Raw genomic sequence first — 18,373 nt, forward strand, 5'->3', positions numbered from 1 at the left:
GTCCCATGCAAGCTAATTAATATCTGGAATGTAATATAAAAACCAACTTCTCTCTTTTAGGCTTGATCCTCATTCAACCTTCTCTCTTATACCTTCTCTATCTCTACCCAGTTCTGAACCCATGGATTTTGAACACTCACATTATAAATGTTGAAAGGATTTCTCCTGGCACACTACAGAATCCTCTATCAGCAAAGAAATTTTGACTCTCACATTACTGGTTTCTAAGCTTTACTTTCTTAACTTGAAAACTAATCTTTTCAACTTGAAAACTAATCTGACCCTCCCATCAGTCAAGGTTTTGACCAACCATTGTCTTACTGGGTATTTGTTGTCTACTGTTCATAGTGACAAAAATTGACTGTAACTTCCTTAACTTGAATTCTTGCCCTTAGATATTCCCAGGTAATACTCACCTCATACTCACTATTGACCATTGTGATGAACCTTAACTTATAAGAAGCACCAGATGAAGGATGCTAAGAGATGGTGGGAGGGGAGTATGTACCCCTTCAAACTTCCAGAGAAATGCTCCTCCCTAGAGATAAATGATGGCTCAGGACCACAGGCAGTAGCCCCCTCAAACATTTAGCCCTCTGACACAAATATACTGGCAATTAATATAGTTCACCCCACCTGCATTCAATAGATAGGAAACCTGAGGTCTAGAAAGAAGAATAAAGTGCCCAAGTTAGCACCTTTAGTTAGTGGCAGAACAAGGAATATAAGTATTCCTGACACTAATTGTCAGTTTGGGATCTTTTCTACTCATCAGGAAGAACCTCAGAATTTCTATTTGTGGCTGAGGTTCACTGGGATCCATTGTTGCACTCCATTTTTTATGCTGAAGATTCCATGTGACCACATATTTAGAAGTGGACCTATACATAGGCAAAGTTGGAGAGCATCCTCGACAAGTTGAGGGCACAGGAGGGTATAATCACCAACAATTTATTTACAAGTCTTTCTTTCCTCTCAACAAATCCTGCAGATGTTTCCTCGTTTACTCTTGAATTGTTCTCTCATTGTTAACTGTGTATTGGTTAGTTTTGTTTTTTTAAGAAGTAGTAAAATCCTAAAAGTCTGAGGTTGTGTGTTTTCTCACCCCATGGGTTCCCTGAACATGGTTCTAAACATATAGTAAGCGCTTAAAAATTTATGATAAAAGTTCTGGTTCTAGAAGGTTAAAGGTTAGGTAAGCAACAAAATATAGTATTGTTACTAGAGCTTGTGGTTTTTATCTCAGGATTTTGTTTGTTTTATTGTTTTGTTAAACATAACTATCCTGAGGGTATCATATTCTGTTATTTAAAAACTATTTTGTCATTATCTTTAAAAATAATTTAGTGTAATTCATATATTAAAAATGTTTGCTTCTGGACTAGGTAGTCCAGAACTAGGTAGCCTGAAAAGCCTCTCATCACCACAAAATAGCCATATGTTACATAAACCACAGGAAGTATCACTTTACATACATTGCTGAGCTGCCAAGGGGTTACAGAGAAGCCATAAGAACCAGCAAAATTCAGAGTAAGCAGAAACCCAGAGAGTAGGCAAATGTGAATGCTAAAGTTGGTGCTACCCTGAAGCAAAAGACAATCTCTGGCACTCAGAGACCAGGAAACTAATAGCCACTTGAGGATGCAGGAAACTAGGCCATGGGCTTTACAAAATGGAGATTCCAAACTGGAAACACTGAATAAGCAGAAATATTTGAAGGACTGCTCCTTTAGACAAAAGGTAGACAGGGAAAAATCTGCAAAGAGAAGCCTACCTTTTTTGTCTTTGCTCCAGACAGAAAATAATAATAGTTTTACCTAAGAAATAGTTACCATAAGCTTGGTCATAGTCAGAACAAATAGTAATAAATGCACATGTAGACATATTGAGGAGAAGCAGGAGAATACCAAAAACAAGATCTTAAGAGCATCTGGATAGAAAAAACAGATAGTGGCAATTAGACGAACAGAAGCCAGAAGATACTGGGGAGGAAAACTCAATATAGAATTCTGTACCGTAAAATTATTTTTCAAGAATGACAGTGATATAAAACACATTTTTCAAATGAACAAAATCAGAGTTTACCAACAATAGACCTTTATCAAAGAAACTTCTAAAGGGTATCTTCAGGAAGAAGAAAATTGACACCAGAAATAAGGTCTTAGATGCAAGAAGAAGTGACAAGCAAACAAACTGGGAAACTTGTAGGTAAATCTGAACAAGCAACTCTATAAAACAATGATATCTAATGTGTATGTTTTAAAATAATTTAAAATGGAGCTAAAATACTAGGCAAAAAAATAGCATGCAGAACTATTACTATTAGAGATTTCTAAGGTCCTTGCACTTGCCAAAAAAGAGTAAAGATATCAATTACATTTAGGGTTTCCCATATTAAGTATGTACAGTAAAATCACTATAAAAGGAAAAAATAGGGAAAAACAGTCAATCCAAAATAATTTTAAAAGAAGAAAAAAGAAACAGTAAAAGCAGAACAGATATATCAGTAATTACAATAAATATAAGCAGACTAAATTTGCCAGTTCAGAGATAAATAGTATCAGATTGGATAATGATAAAGATTGAACTCGCTAGGAGGCTATAATAATTCTGTGCTTAGTAACATAGCCTCAAACTATATAAAGCAAAAATTGTTCTACAATAAGAAATATCTACCACCTTAGTGGTATATATTTCAATAGTGGTACATGCGCACACACACACACACACACACACACACACACACACCCCTACCTGTACAATTTTGCAGGAGACTGCAACCAAACATTTGGGAAACATCACTGCAATTTTTTACAGTCTCTTTTAGGAAAGGACATACTTCTCATTTCACTCTAAAATCATAACCAATCGACAACTGTACAAGAAAGGAATAAGGGGCCAATGCTACTCATGAACATAGAAAAATTCTTTTTTTTTTTTTTTGAGATGGAGTCTCGCTCTGTTGCCCAGGCTGGAGCGCAGTGGCGCAATCTCAGCGCACTGCAAGCTCCACCTCCAGAGTTCATGCTGTTCTCCTGTCTCAGCTTCCCAAGTAGCTGGGACAGGCGCCCGCCGCCACACCTGGCTAATTTTTTGCATTTTTTTTTTTTTTTTTTTAGTAGAGATGGGGTTTCACCATGTTAGCCAGGCTGGTCTCGATCTCCTGACCTCGTGATCTGCCCGCCTCGGCCTCCAAAAGTGCTGGGATTACAAGATTGAACCACTGCGCCCGGCCAGAAAAATTCTATATTAAACTTTAATAACTCTAAAAACATGTAAAACAATCTATTATCACCAAGTTTGACTTATAAAAAAGCAGTTAGTTTGCCATTTGAAAATGCACTCATATTAGTGCACCAACTTAATGAATAAAATAGAAAGACCATACAACTATCTCATTAAGTGCAGAAAAGCATTAGATAAAATTTAACACCAATTCATCATAAAAACTCCTTACAATATAAAAGTAGAAGGGAATTTTACAAATCTAATCTAAGAATGTCTACCATAAACTTGCAAAAAAATCAACCAAATAAAATATTAGAAGCAGCTCCTTTAGTATCAGAAACAAAATAAAGTTATCTACTATTAATCCTACTACTCAGCATTGTACTGTAGGTCTTAGGCCATGTGGTCAAATAAACAAAAAAGAAGAAAGAACTATAAGCTTTGAAAATTAAAAAAAAAAACTGTTATCATTTACAATTTGACTTCCTACAGAAAAAAAACAAAGAATTATTGAGACATTATCAGAATTAACAATAGAGTTTAGCAAAATGGCCATATGTAAACTAAATGTCCGGAAAATACTTCTATTTCTATATCAGCAACTAATTGTTAGAAAATATAATTTTTAAAGAGGTACCACTTATAATAGTAACAAAAATTATAAGGTCTCTTAAACATATCTAACAGACATGCAATTTCTTTATCACAAAATATAAAACTATATTGAAAACTATTAAAGAAGACATAAATTTTAAGAAGTATACCATATCCATAGATAGGGAAAGTCAATATAGTAAAGATGTCAGTTCTTTCAAACGAATCTATAGGTCCAAATGAATTCTGTTCAACACTGTTCTTCATGGGATTTGGCAAAATAAATAAATACAGATTTCTTTGGAAGGGTAAATGGTTATGAATAGTCAAAATATTCTTGAGGAAGAATAACAAGGTAAACAAATTTCCCTAGCAGATACTAAGACAGTATAAACGTAAAAATGAAGACAGTGAGTGTTATATTAGTGCAGAAATAAACTAAATAAATGGAACAGACTAGAAAACTCAGTGGCAAAGCCATGCATTTTGTGAATTTTATGTGTGGTAGAAAAGTCTTTTCAGAACAGTGGGAAAAGAATTACTATTTAGTAAATCAGTGCTTCCAAAACTTTCTTAATGATAAGAATTATCTAAACCACTTGCTAAATATCCAGATTACCTGGAAATTCTGACTCATTAGGTCTGAATTAGAGCCTAGGAATCTATTTTTATCAAGAATTCCAGGTGATTCTTAACCTTGGTCAAGTTTTAAAAGCCCTTCAATAAATGTTGCTGGAACATTTGCATATCTCCATGGAAAAAAATAAAATTGAATTTCTCCCTCACAAAATTCAATTCCTAGTATTTTAAAAATATAAATGGAAAAATTAAAACAACAATTTTTAGAAAAGGATATAGGAGAATGTCTTCATAGCTCTGAGATAAGTGGATTTCTTTCATTAATACCAAATGCATTAGTCATAAAGGAAAAGATTGATAAACTAGATACTTTTAAATTAAATCTCTTACTCAAAGAACATCACAAACTATGAGAAAATATTTGAACATATATTATCAACAAAGAATTAATATCCAGATTAAATTTTAAAACTCCTAAAAATAAATCCAAAGATAGATTGGTCAATAGGAAACTCAGTAAAAGACATGAACAGACATTTTACATAAAAAGAAACATGAATGGCCAATAAAAAAATAAAAACACATTCAACCTTGGTAGTAATCATAAAAATAAGAATTAAAACCACAACAGGATCATTTTACAACCTCCAAAATGGTGAAAATTAAAAATTCAGACAATATCAAGCATTTACAAGAATGTATAAAACAAAATATCTCTTACACATGGCTGACAGGAGAGTAAAATGGTGCAACTATTTTGGAAAACAACCTGGAATCCTTTGGAAATAATAGTTATCCTATAAAGCTGAAGATTCACTTACCCTGTGACCTAGCACTTTCATTCTGAGAAGCTCTTGCACACTTCCACAAAGATACATGTACAAGAACTTCATGGCAGGATTGCTCATAGTAGTAAAAATCAAGAAATCACTCCAAAATATCCATCGACAGAAGAATGGACAAATAAATTGTAACTCATTCATACAATGGAATACTTTGCAGCAGGGAAGTGGATGAACTACAGCTTCTGTTACCATTTGGACAAATCTCTAAAACATAATGTTGAGTGAAAATTGACAGTTATGGCCAGGAGCGATGGCTCACTCCTATAATCCCAGCACTTTGGGAGGCCGAGGCAGGCAGAACACCTGAGGTCAGGAGTTCAAGTCCAGCCTGGCCAACATGGTGAAACCCCATCTCTACTAAAAATACAAAATTAGCCAGGCATGGTGGTGCATGCCTGTAATCCCAGCTACTTGGGAGGCTGAGGCAGGAGAATCACTTGAACCTGGGAGGTGGAGGTTGCAGTGAGCTGAGATCGTGCCATTGCACTCCAGCCTGGGTGACAGAAGTGAAACTCTGTCCAAAAAAAAAGGAAGGAAGGAAGGAAGGAAGGGAGGGAGGGAGGGACAAAAATTGCCAGTTACAAACAATACAAGCTTATACATAGACAAAATTCATAATAGTATGTGCCCTTTGAGGGAAAGAGAACTATATGACTGTGGAAGGACACAGAGGAGTTTAAAAGCATCACGAATGTTCTATTTCTCAAGCTGTGTGATAGACAAAATTGAGGTTTGCTTTTTAACATTCCTTATGTCTTACAGTTATTAATATATATTCTTTAAAGTATAAGTATTCCACAATACAAACATATACTTTAAAATACTTATTGATTGAAAGATTTATAAGCTGAGGTGAAACACTACACCAGGAATCAGGATAATCATAACCACCAACTGAGCGCCTCTGGGTAACCTGTCCTGCTTGGCCCTTGGACGCTTGCACAGAACAGCCCCTGTTCCTGACCACTTTTGAGGCAAGATAGACGGACACGTAACCACCCAAAATGCCCAATGAAAGAGATTGCCCATGCACTCTGTAACTAGTTCAGAGAAGTAGCATTCAGGTTAAAGTTTGTACTTGCAAGTTAAAGAGGAGAGGGGTTGAATCAGGGAAGGCTGTCTCTGGGGGCATCCCTTACCTTCTCACAGAACCAGCCTCTGTTGACACCCACATTGCCATGCCCGACGGAGACCCGACTCAGGGGGCTAAGGAGGACAGCCAGCTCGATGTGGAAGATGTCCGTGCGGCCTCGGTCAAACACGCCGCCCTCCAGGAAGATTTTCCCACTGTTCTTATTCCCTCTGGCCCCATACATGACCAAGTAGATTTTGGATTTGGTACCAGCCCCCCGGACATCCCCAGTGAAGACGGTGACAATATACGTAATAGCTGGTGTGGAAACAACAGGAAAGAGAGTGTTCAATGTGAGCTGCATCATAATATCCCACCCCCTCCTCCCCTTCCTGGTTACAACACCCCCAAAGCCCTCCTCCTCCACACATCCTCTTTCCCCATCATGTCCTACTCCTCCAGATGCCACCTAATGTCCCTCTCGACCTCATTTCATCTTTTCCAGAGTTTGTGTGTCCAATGCATCTGAGTTTGAGAATAAACCGCACGTATTATTACAGGAAGCTGTCAGTGCTGATTAGAGGAAACTAACAAAGAGAAGGAGGAACTCGGGTTGGCTAAGAATAGTACTTATTATTAATGATAATTACCATGCGTACATTATTAATAGCTGCCAGATGAATTCTGTTATGTCTAATCTAATTATAATAGTCAACTCCATTAATGGAGATTTACGTTCAGGGCTATCTGATTCATTTCGCTTGCTCTTTTGCTGATAACTTAAAAACATAACTTTTAATAGAGGACATTAATGTCCTCCTTTGCTGCCTGATGTGGTAGGGTGAGGAGGATTGAGGGAGAGAGAGAACATTGTTGGTTGGGCCATTTGAGGTTCTGGTCTATCAGGAGGCAATATGAGGACATGGAATTCTGAGGAAGAACTAGCAAAGGGAGATTAAACTCTGGGACTGGGCGAAGTAAAAGAAAATACCAAAGACAAACATTTGGACAGGCAATTCTACTAAGGACTGGCCTGGCCTAGATTTTTTTATTTTATTTATTTTTTATTTTTTTGAGACAGAGTCTCACTCTATCACCCAGGCTGGAATCTAGTGGTGTGATCTCAGTTCACTGCAACCTCTACTTCCCAGGCTCAAGCGATTCTCGTGTCTCAGCCTCCTGAGTGGCTGGGATTACAGACATGTGCCACCACACCTGGTTAATTTTTGTATTTTTAGTAGAGACAGGTTTTCACCATGTTGGCCAGACTGGTCTCGAACCCCTGGCCTCAAGTGATCCACCCCCCTCAGACTCCCAAAGTGCTGAGATTACAGGCATGAGACACCATGCCTGGCCTACATTCTGTAATTCTGTCCTGGGGTCTAAGGCGGTTGTCACTTTAAGCCTTGTTAATTCCCCTACCCATCCCTCACCCTACCATACCCCACACTCTTATCCCATAACCTCAGAGAAATAAAAATCCCAAATTTCTTTGAGTGATAATACATGCAACTACATGGGTGTATTATTCATTCTTAAACTTACATTTTCTTTTGTTCAGCATTTATTGAGTGCTTACTAGATTCCAGGCCTTTGGGAGTAAATAAATAAAAAGGAATGGTCATTGCTCTAGAAAAAAAAAATAGGTCTCGAGCTTTATTTCTCTAAGATGCATGGACAAATGGTGTTCCCACATCAGATATACTTTCATCGTTTAGGATATAAGCAATGCCCAGCTGCTATCATTTCTGCTCTTCTTCTACCACTAGGAGACATATAATATTCACATATTCAGTATATATTAATTCTATTCGAGTATGTTTTTAAGTAAACTGCAAACTTTTCATCTGTAGATGACTTGTGCCACACCTCACAATGATCAGCCCGCAATGCTGAGGTTGAAAAGGACTGGAGCAGAGGAGCATTTAGGCTTCTGAACAGCAGCAATAAAGGTCTGCCAAGGAGCATGGAGCAAAAGAAGGGAGAAGTTACCCAGGCCAGAGAAGGTCAGGGAGGGCTCAGAGGAAGTGACTGGAAACAGGAATTCGAGAGGCAGAAAGAAGAGAAAAGACTTTTCAGGATGAGGAGAAGGCAGGTTCCGAGGATAGAGAGAGAGAAAGAGCAAGGCAAGCAGGGAGTTGAGGGGAGAGGGAAGGCATGGGAGCAAGATGGAGGGAAGAATGGAAGGTGTGAATGTGCAGTGGGAGAGAGGGTATGGGAAGACTCTGTGGGTAGGATGAATGGAGCCAAATTGGGGAGAAATGTGTACATTATACTACAGAACATGGATTTTCTCCCATGGTGAGTCATGGGAGTTCTGCTGCAGAGAACATTCTCAGATGTACACAATATCAACGTTGATTTTCTAGAACATGCATGACCATGACTGCCATGCTGGGAGTTGGAAGTTTTCTGTGGAATTCATACAGGTTAGGGCTTTAGGAAGCAGACCAAATCCTGAATCTATCACTTGCCAGCTGTGTGCCCTTGGACAAGGCTCTTCCATTGCCTCAGTTTCCTCATCTGTGTGATGGGAACAATAACAGTTCCTACTTTATAGGGTGGTTGTGAGGACTGAAGGACACCATGTAGGTCAGGTACCTACCTAGAAGGCCTGGCATATACTAAGCACTCAATATCAGGAAGAGTTCAGATCAATGTCCTGGGAAACATCCATGCTTGTCAGAAGTTCACATTCTGGCTTCATCCTATGGATACCTTCCTTTGCCCTGGGCAGTTAGTATCTGCTTAGCAGCATCCCCCAGGTCCTCTGGCAACAACAGAGCCCCAGGCTGCAACCCAGTGGGACAGAACAGTTTCAGGAGCAGGAGGAATGCTGTCTGCAGACCCAGCTGGCTCCTGTTTGATCACAGGCCTCCAGCCCCACAGATGCCAACAGCGACCCTTAGGCAGAAAGTGAAATACCCAAAAGAGCCTCCCCTTTCTTCAAATCTACCTGTGGTCTCAGCTCCGCCCACTAAGATATCCCTTTGGATTTTGCCATCGTCTTCGTCCAAGGCCAGCCAGCGGTTAAGGGGGAAGTCATATTTTCTTTTGTTCCCAATATCTTCAATGACTATCTGGGAAGGAGAAGAGGGGACAAGGATGTAGATAAGTGTTGTTGAGGGTGCACCTGGAGATCTAATCCAATCTTCCAATCACTTGAGTCTACTTTAAGAATGTACTGATATCTGTTTCGTGGCCCAAGGAAAGCTTATCACAAGGACACAACTGTGTCCAGGATACCTGGTAAAGCTCAGAATCATACAGGGATGACTGGCGATTACCTTCTGACTTGAATTACTGAGCCACCGCTCCCTCCACTGCTGCAGATCATTTTTTAAATTGAAGCAAAAAATTTGGCAGCATGAGCCTTGTGAGACTGGTTACAAGAACTGGAAGCCTGGATTTGCAAACTGTGACAATACCATCACTGTCCTCACAGGCTGAAGGTTGGGATTCTGACCTTATTGGTGAGAAGCAGAGCCCAGGCAAGGGGAACTGCAAGCCCCACATCAGGCACAGTGAATCCTAGGATCTTGTGATCAGGTCAGAAAACATCAGCCACCAACAGTAAGGCTAATGGACTCTATGATGCCTCCCTCAGGGACTCCCATGCGAGCTAAGTTAGTGAGGCTGAGATAAGTGTGCCTTCTAGAATACACCAAAGAGCTGAGGGGCCCTCTCAAAATGTGCCCAGAAGATCCAACTGAAAACTCGCTCTAGGATAAGTAGAATTGTTAATAGCTAGAATGTGTCCTCCAGTCATAATACAATATGGGCAGAGGATAACCTTTTTACTGTCAACATGTATCTCATAACATCATGTTATATACCTTAAATATACACAAAAAAATTTATTTTAAAAATTCGATCACTTTAGAACAGGATTAAGATGATAAAATGCTACCAAGACCAATCAAGCATCTGGTAGCTTTGTAAAATATTGAAGACTATACTGTAAAAAACAAAAGCATTAGAACAAAAACACACTTTCATGGTTGTCTCTATATAAGTTCAAAGTGCACAACCCTCTGCTTTACATTATTCCTGCAGGAAATTCTGTCTCAAATGAATTTCAAAGTTTCAAGATTTTGGCTGGGCGTGGTGGCTCACACCGTAATCCCAGCACTTTGGGAGGCCGAGGCGGGAGGATCACGAGGTCAGGAGATCAAGACCATCCTGGCTAACATAGTGAAACCCCATCTCTACTAAAAATACAAAAAAATTGGCCAGGCGTGGTGGCGGGCACCTATAGTCTCAGCTACGCAGGAGAATGGCGTGAACCCAGGAGGTAGAGCTTGCAGTGAGCCGGGATCGTGCCACTGTACTCCAGTCTGGGCGATAGTGCAAGACTCCATCTCAAAAAAATAAAAATAAAAGAAATAAAAAGTATATAGATTTTTAGGAATGCATCTCTTGCATAAAATGCAACCAACTGGTATCAAAGACTCAGGCAATAGGAAAAAGAAAAGAAACCATCACATCAGGGCAGAGCTATACCAGGACAGTACCATCCAGGATCTGAGAACTGGACTAAGAGACTCCAATCAACCCTGGATGTGAGATGGGAGTTCGGTTATTACCCAACTGGAGCCAAGAATGAAAATAGAAGTGGGAGGAGGAAGAAGAGAGGAGGAGTAGGAAGATGGGAGATTTAATAAGCATATCCTATGTTTCAGGGGCACCTTGACTATTGTCAGATACCAAGTCTGAATAAGACCCACCTCATTTGAGGTTGGGTAAAGGGAATACACCAACTTAAGACCTTGCAAATTCTTGAATCAAAGACAGAGAAGATCATTCTAAAGAATCAGAGGAGGGGCAGAACTCTGGAAAGAACCTAATGTGGGACCCACCAAAAGAACTCACACCATTCAACTGATGTGCTTAAAAGAATATAAGCAGATTTAGTCTTTATGAAATAGGAGTAAATATCTTTAAAGACAGATAAGACTACAATGAAAAGGCAATCAGATGAGATTTAAAAATAACTAAGTTAAGTAAGAAAGGGAATCAAGAAAAATAAAACTATACAGCAGCAAATAGATCAAAGTTCTTAAAATTCTGCCTGTTCTTTCACCAACTCCTGAGAATGTACCGTAAGAAATAATCACAGATGTGCATAAAGATAAGGCATGAAACGTTTGTCACAGCACTATTTATAGTATAATAGTATACTGTATATATATACACACACACACACACACACAGGTTGAACATCCCTAATCTGAAAACCGAAATCCAAAATGCTCCAAAGTCCAAAACTTTTTGAGTGCTGACAACACACCAAAAGTGGAAAATTCCACACCAGACCCTATATGATGGGTTGCAGTCCAAACACAGTCAAAACTGTGCTTCATGTAAAAAATTATTGACTGATACTGTGTAGAATTACCTTCAGGGTACTTGCATAAGGTGTATATGAAACAAATAAATTTCATGTTTAGACTTGGGTCCCATCCCAAGATATCTCATTATGTATATGCAAATATTCCAAATTCAAAAAAACCTGAAATCTGAAACACTTCTGGTCCCAAGCATTTCCAATAAGGTATATTCAACCTGTATAGCATAATATACATTTTATATATTACATAATATACAGTATATAGCATAATTATGTCATATAATAATTTTGAGGAAAAAATAGAAACATTTGACCAAAGGAGATTGGTTTAATAAGTCATGGTAGATCTAAAACACTTATTTCCATCATTAAAAATTACACTGTAGCCAGGCGTGGTGGCTCACACCTGTAAACACAGCACTTTCAGAGGTCGAAGCGGCCATATCACCTAAGGTCAGGAGTTCGAGACCAGCCTGGTTGACATGGTGAAACCCTGCCTCTACTAAAACTACAAAAATTAGCCAGGCATGGTGGCGGGCACCTGTAATCCCAGCTACTTGGGAGGCTGAGGCAGGAGAAGAATCGCTTGAACCCGGGAGGCAGAGATTGCAGTGAGCCAAGATTGTGCCACTGCACTCCAGCCTCAGTGACAGAGTGACATTCTGTCTCAAAAAAAAAAAAATTATATTGTAAAATAGCCATGTCATTATATTTAAATAACATGGGGATATATGCATGCTATATTTAAAAATGAAAACAAATTTGTAAAATATTGTATTCATTATGACACCATATATATATGGTGTCATATATATATACACATATATGTGCATATATACATGTACATATACATACATATATACATATATGTACATATATACATATATACGTACGTATATGTACATATATACATATATATGGTGTCATAATGAATATATATACACACATATATATGGGTGATAATATGATACATATATATAGGTGATAAGTGATATATATATATTAATTAATAGAAAAATGACTAGAGGATATTCATCCAAATATTAACTGGTTATTTTTGGGTGGTAAAATTATGAGTGGTTTTTTTTGTTGTTTATTTGTATTTTCTAAATGTTTTATGATGAACATGTATTAGTTTTATAAGAAAAAATAATTAAAAGAAATACATTCAGAATTGAAATATACATTGACAGGAGAAAGAAGTGGAACTCAGTGTGGAACAGCAAATCAATGATGTGGTGGGAATTTGACAAGTTCTCAAGGAATGCAAAAAAGTAGAGATGACAGGAGTAAAGGGGAAGCTGCCGGTTTTGGAAGGTAGAGAATGGAAATCCAATAGATGGGCAATTGGCTGTCCTGAGAAAGAGACCAGAACAAATGCCACCCGAGCAAGAATCTAACATACAATAAGAAATCTCTTTTCTGACCTATAAATAAATTAATTACAAATAAATGAATAAACAAATAGCCTGCCCATCAGATAGAAAACACATACTGTGTTTCAGAGAAATTAAAAACAAACACGGAAGGAAGGAGGGAAGGAAGGAAGGAAGGAAGGAAGGAAGGAAGGAAAGAAGGAAGGGAGGAAGGAAGGGCGGGCAGGCAAAGACCCTACTCCTAGATGCTGTCTGGCAAGACTTTTGAATTAATATAAAGAAAAACATCTGCAAGCATCTGGCAGGAAAAAAAATTAGGTTACCCGGAAAGAAACGAAAAGTCTACTTGGCCTCAATATCAAATTTCAGAAGTTAACGGAATACAATCCACAAAGTTTTAAAGGAAAAAAGTGTTTTCACCCATAGATTTCACACCTTGCCAAGCTGCCCTTTGAGGGTAAGACAACAAAGAAACACATCTTGGCATATGAACCTGCCTCCTTGGGGAACCTTCCTAAGAGCACAACGCACCCATGTGACCAAGAAGGAACCTGAGTTCAAGAGGGTGAAACTGTTCACCCTTTAAAGCTCTGTCCACTAAACCTTGTGTTTTTACTCTGCTGTCTTTCTTTTCAGAATGAAGAAAGTGGACTTCAAGGTACCTGTTCTGTGCCCTGCCCTGGCTGAGGTCATAAAATGCACAGGCCTCCTCTCCCCGCTTTGCCCAGCTAAGCAGAAAACCACCTGAAAACACACTTCTGCTGATGTATTGGCTATTTGGATTCTGGACTCACACCCTATTTCTTCTCCAATCCAAGCAGCAGTTCCACTTAGCCTCCTGGTACCCTCCAGGCTTGCTGCTCTTAGGACCAGGCAAGCCCTTCCTTTCCAAAGGAATTTGGGCATTTCTTCCTTTGTTGATTCAATGCCCAGTCCCATGCCAAGAGCTAGGGAGGTGCCCTCAAGGAACTTTCAGACTAATTATGAAAACAGGTATGGCCATCACTAGGATGTTCACTCAACACCCTTTCCAATCACCTTCTTCCTAGTCCACTTCTATTCTACAGGCTGAAAGCTAACTGCCCAATTTCCCAGTTTTCACTGCAGCTAGGGTGTCCACATAATACATATTTGGCCAGTGAAATGTAGCCAGAAGTTCCAAGGAGGGCTCTGCTTTTTTCAAAATAAGGCATCATTTGCCAGAAAACAGTCTTTATGCCCCTTGTCAAAGCCTTTATCCCCATTTTCTCTCCCCCTCTTTCTGTCTGGAACATAGATAAGATGCCTAGAGATTCAGTAGCTATCATGTGCTCATGAGGCAACAAATTGGAGGATGAAAGTCCCAGTGCTGGCGATGGTAACGCAGAGAGGGAGCAGGTGCATCAGAAAGCAGCTGCACCAGCCCTGAGCTGACCACATTTGGATTTCCTGGCTGAAGAAATGCAGGATGAGCTGAAAAAAATAAGCTCCTAGTTGTTTAACACTGCACTTGAATCTTCTGATCCTTGCAGCCAAATATTTTCCTAATATAAGAAGATAAATAAAGTTAAGCAATAATAAAACCTCAACTATCAGACAGCCTCATTCTTTACAGTCAAGTTGTTATAAATCTGAGTTTTCTATTTTAAGCAATAAGACCTTTCTCAAAATACTTTTTCAAAAATATATAACACATTAACCTTTTCCTATCATTCTGTAATGAACAGAAATATTATACGTTGATGTCTTCATAACTGAGGGAAGTCTATGCAAAAGGCCGGTTGCCTGTTTTCTAACGGACCTCAGCCTGGTGTGAATTTTTAATACTCTTTTGGTATTTTATATCTTCTCTGACTTCCCCTTACTGTTCTCGATAACACTACCCATTACAGTGCCTCTTTCCCCTTCTAATTTTCCGCTAGAGGTTTAAAATGACAGGAAACAAGTTTACTAGAAGGGATTACAGGTAAGCACCAGATTCTGAGTGCAAGTCTGAAGGGGGCTTCCTTCAAAATCAGGGCAAGGCCAGATAGAGCCAGGGACACGAGCTTTCTTTACAAACTTTGAATGGAATATGTTTTAGCTGCTCAGGAGCCTTTTTGCTTTCTTCTTGATTCTTAACTTTGTCCTGGATAGGTGAAACTATAACACTTGAGATCCAGAAATTTGTGGTACAAAGCAACAGGTCAAGATAAGTCACAAGAAAGCGTACGCTTGGATCAAATGAATGCTATAAGCAAGCAGGGTTCTAAAGTTTCATGGGAGGGAGAGGTTCTGGTGGGCCACGGTCAGGGAAGGCTTCATGGCAGAGTCTTGAAGAATGAACAGGCCCCGGCTAGGTTCAGATGAAAGTACTGGGCTTCCTGTAAAAAAGGATGAGTTCATGTCTTTTGCAGGGACATGGATGAAGCCAGAAACCGTCATTCTTAGCAAACTATCACAAGGGCAGAAAACCAAACACTGCCTGTTCTCACCCATAGGTGGGAATTGAACAATGAGAACACTTGGACACAGGGCGGGGAACATCACACACCGGGGCCTGTCGGGGGCTGGGGGGCTGGGGGAGGGATAGCATTAGGAGAAATTCCTAATGTAAATGACAAGTTGATGGGTGCAGCAAACCAACATGGCACATGTATACCTATGTAAAAACATGCACATTGTGCACATGTACCCTAAAAAGAAAAGAGAGAGAGAGAGAGGAAAAAAAGAGAAAGTACTGGACTTCCTGTGAAGATGGTAACGTGGATGAAGTCTTGGAGGCCATAAGGAGGACAGAATGGCTGGCCATCTGGCTTAGGTAGAAGAGTGGATGCAGATGGACCTAGAGAGGAAAGTTGGGACTGAGATACAACCCTCTGAAGAACAAGAAGGCCCCCCTTCCAAGGCCACAGGGACTGCAGAGAAGCAGCTGAACTCACCTGGGACAGGAACCAACCTGCAGAGCCCCCCTTATTGTTGTGGCCAACATTGATCTTCATCAGCTGCCCCAAATCCGGGGCATCCAGGATGAACCTGTCTTCAGCTCCCTTTTCAAAGTTGTCCTTTTCATTTTCTAGCCTACGCTCCCCTGTATGCACAGACATACAAAAGAAATTACAAAAAGACCAGAAGAAAAGAATTTCCAAGCCTTCATGGTCCGCCCACTGAAAGATGCTCTTCCAAAGTTAACAAGGGCAACTTCCTCCTGAGATCTAAGGGCTCCTTACATCCCTCCAGTCTCTGAACAAGGCAGAGGTTTGCTTCATGTGTGGCTTGTGCCCAGGTCTTATAACTGAGCTTTTGATTTCTGCCTTACTCTAGAGTCCCGATCCTACTAAACCGATTTGTACCCCCATCTCTAGATCTAGGACCCTGCCTTGCTTTTGCCAGTTGCTTGTCCTGAATTGGAACAATAGCCACAGCAGTTGGTAAAGGGGCTGTCGGTATTCAGCCTACAGACTTCCTTAGACCTGACTCCTTTTCTGGAAAACAGTGCTGGTAAGTATTAATACTATCAGATGCTGCTGGTTGTTTAACATAGTTTTGGGTTTTACTCTCATTTATTCCTCACCACAATTCAAGAAGGAGATATTATTAACTCCGTCTTGCAAATGAAGAAACAGAGACTTAGAGAAGTTAAACACCTTGCCAAAAGTCATGCAGGTTATAAGCACTTAGTTAGGACTCAAATTTTAACCTGTTCTTTCTGCTCTGCAATTTTCCATTATTGTGTATCTACAAATCTTATCTAGGCACCAATTTTTGCTGAAACCATCCTGTGTTCTTTCTTTTTAATTTTTTTTAAATTTTAGGTTGTGACAGTTCAAACATACAGAAAATAATATAAGACATTCATGTACCCACCATCCAGATTTAAGAGAGATAACAGATACTAACATTTTGTCCAGTTTTCTCCAGACCTTTCTCATTTCTTAAGGATGTAAAACATGACAGATATGTCTAAGGCCTCACTGTCCATCTCTTCCCTTCTACTCCTTTCCCAAAATAAACACTATCTTCAACTTGGTATATATCATTCCCAAGAATTTTTGTTTGCATATATATGTATCTATAAAGACGGCTCCTGAAGTGTGATAGTCACTATTATATTATCATTGCTGCTGAGGTGGTTGCTATTGTTCCTGTTATCATTGTCACATACCCTTATGCTACTTGCTTTTTCTCAGTTAATGTTATCCTTTTGAGAGTACCTTGATGATAGTCATAACTTTAGTTTATTCATCTGACTGCTGTATAATAGTCATTGAATAAAGGAAACACTGTTGTCTATGCATTCTTCTACTGATGGACATTTAGGTTGCTTCTATTTTTTTGCTATTGCAAGCAGCACTAAAATGGACTCTTCTGTACCTATCTCCTACTGCACATTTGTAAGAACAGCTCTGAATAGATACCTACAGCTTCTGAACCCTGAGGTGTGCTCATCTTCAGTTTATTAGATGTTGCAAAATTTACCTCCAAAAATGGTTGTATTACATTAATTACCACCAGTAGTATATGAAGATTCCCATTCCCCACAAACATTAACATATATTTTTTAAAATTTTTATTCAGTGTGTACCCAACAGCATCTTATTGTAGTTTTAATTTGCATTCCCCTGCTTATTTGGGGAGATTGAGAATATGTTCATGAATATATTTTGGCCATTTAGGCTTTTCTCTTCTGTAATTTTTCCATTTATATCTTTTATTCCATTTTTCTCTTGTCTTGTTTGCCTATGTTTATCATACAGATATTTTTCTTGTTTTAATAGACTTCAATTTATCAATATTTTCCTTTGTTGCTTATGCTTTTAATGAATTATTTACAAAATCCCATCTCTAAATTGAGATTAAAAAGATACTCCTTTAGAGTTTCTTCTAAAAATTTTTTATTTTTGTTTTTTCACATTTAAGTCTTCAGCCCATCTGAAAGTTATTTTGTGAGTGGTAAAAGGCAGGAATTTAATTTTATCATTTTTCATATGGTTAGACAATTGTTCAAATACCAGTAATCGAACATTTCATCTTTTCCTTCTGATTTACAATGCCAACTCTATGTGTGCTTCTAGACTCTTTATTCTGTTTCATTGCTTTATTTTGTTTATCCATCTAGCAATATCACACTGTTTTAGTTTTTAGAGACCTAAAATGTCTTAATATCTGGCAGGGCAAATATTCTCATGTTATTAATATTGTTAGCATTATTTTCATTATTCAAAATTGTCTTGTCAATATTTAGCTCTTTATGGCTTAGCCCTACATGAATATTAGTAGCAATGTAAGCTGTGGGGTATTGCCTTTTAAGATTTCAACTGAAATTGCATTGCATTTATAAAACAACCTGGGAAAATTTGCCATATTAATG

At 38.8% G+C, this 18,373-nt stretch overlaps 1 protein-coding gene across 9 annotated transcripts in view; it reads right to left on the bottom strand.

Annotated features, from left to right (window-relative positions):
• LOXHD1 (lipoxygenase homology PLAT domains 1) overlaps positions 1 to 18,373 on the bottom strand; it is a 180,260-nt gene that overhangs the window by 117,871 nt on the left and 44,016 nt on the right. For 6 of the 9 annotated variants that reach the window (XM_047437290.1, XM_047437291.1, XM_047437292.1 and 3 more), the window contains exon 1: positions 6,386 to 6,832. In XM_047437290.1, coding sequence (XP_047293246.1) covers positions 6,386 to 6,685 — 300 coding nt within the window. In that variant the 5' untranslated portion in view covers positions 6,686 to 6,832. Of the gene's footprint in view, positions 1 to 6,385; positions 6,833 to 9,274; positions 9,399 to 15,944; positions 16,094 to 18,373 lie in introns of those variants that run through there. The other 3 variants (NM_144612.7, NM_001384474.1, XM_047437289.1) reach the window with 2 other exon arrangements.

The sequence above is a fragment of the Homo sapiens genome, chromosome 18 (genome assembly GCF_000001405.40).
Source record: "Homo sapiens chromosome 18, GRCh38.p14 Primary Assembly".
NCBI lineage: Eukaryota > Metazoa > Chordata > Mammalia > Primates > Hominidae > Homo > Homo sapiens.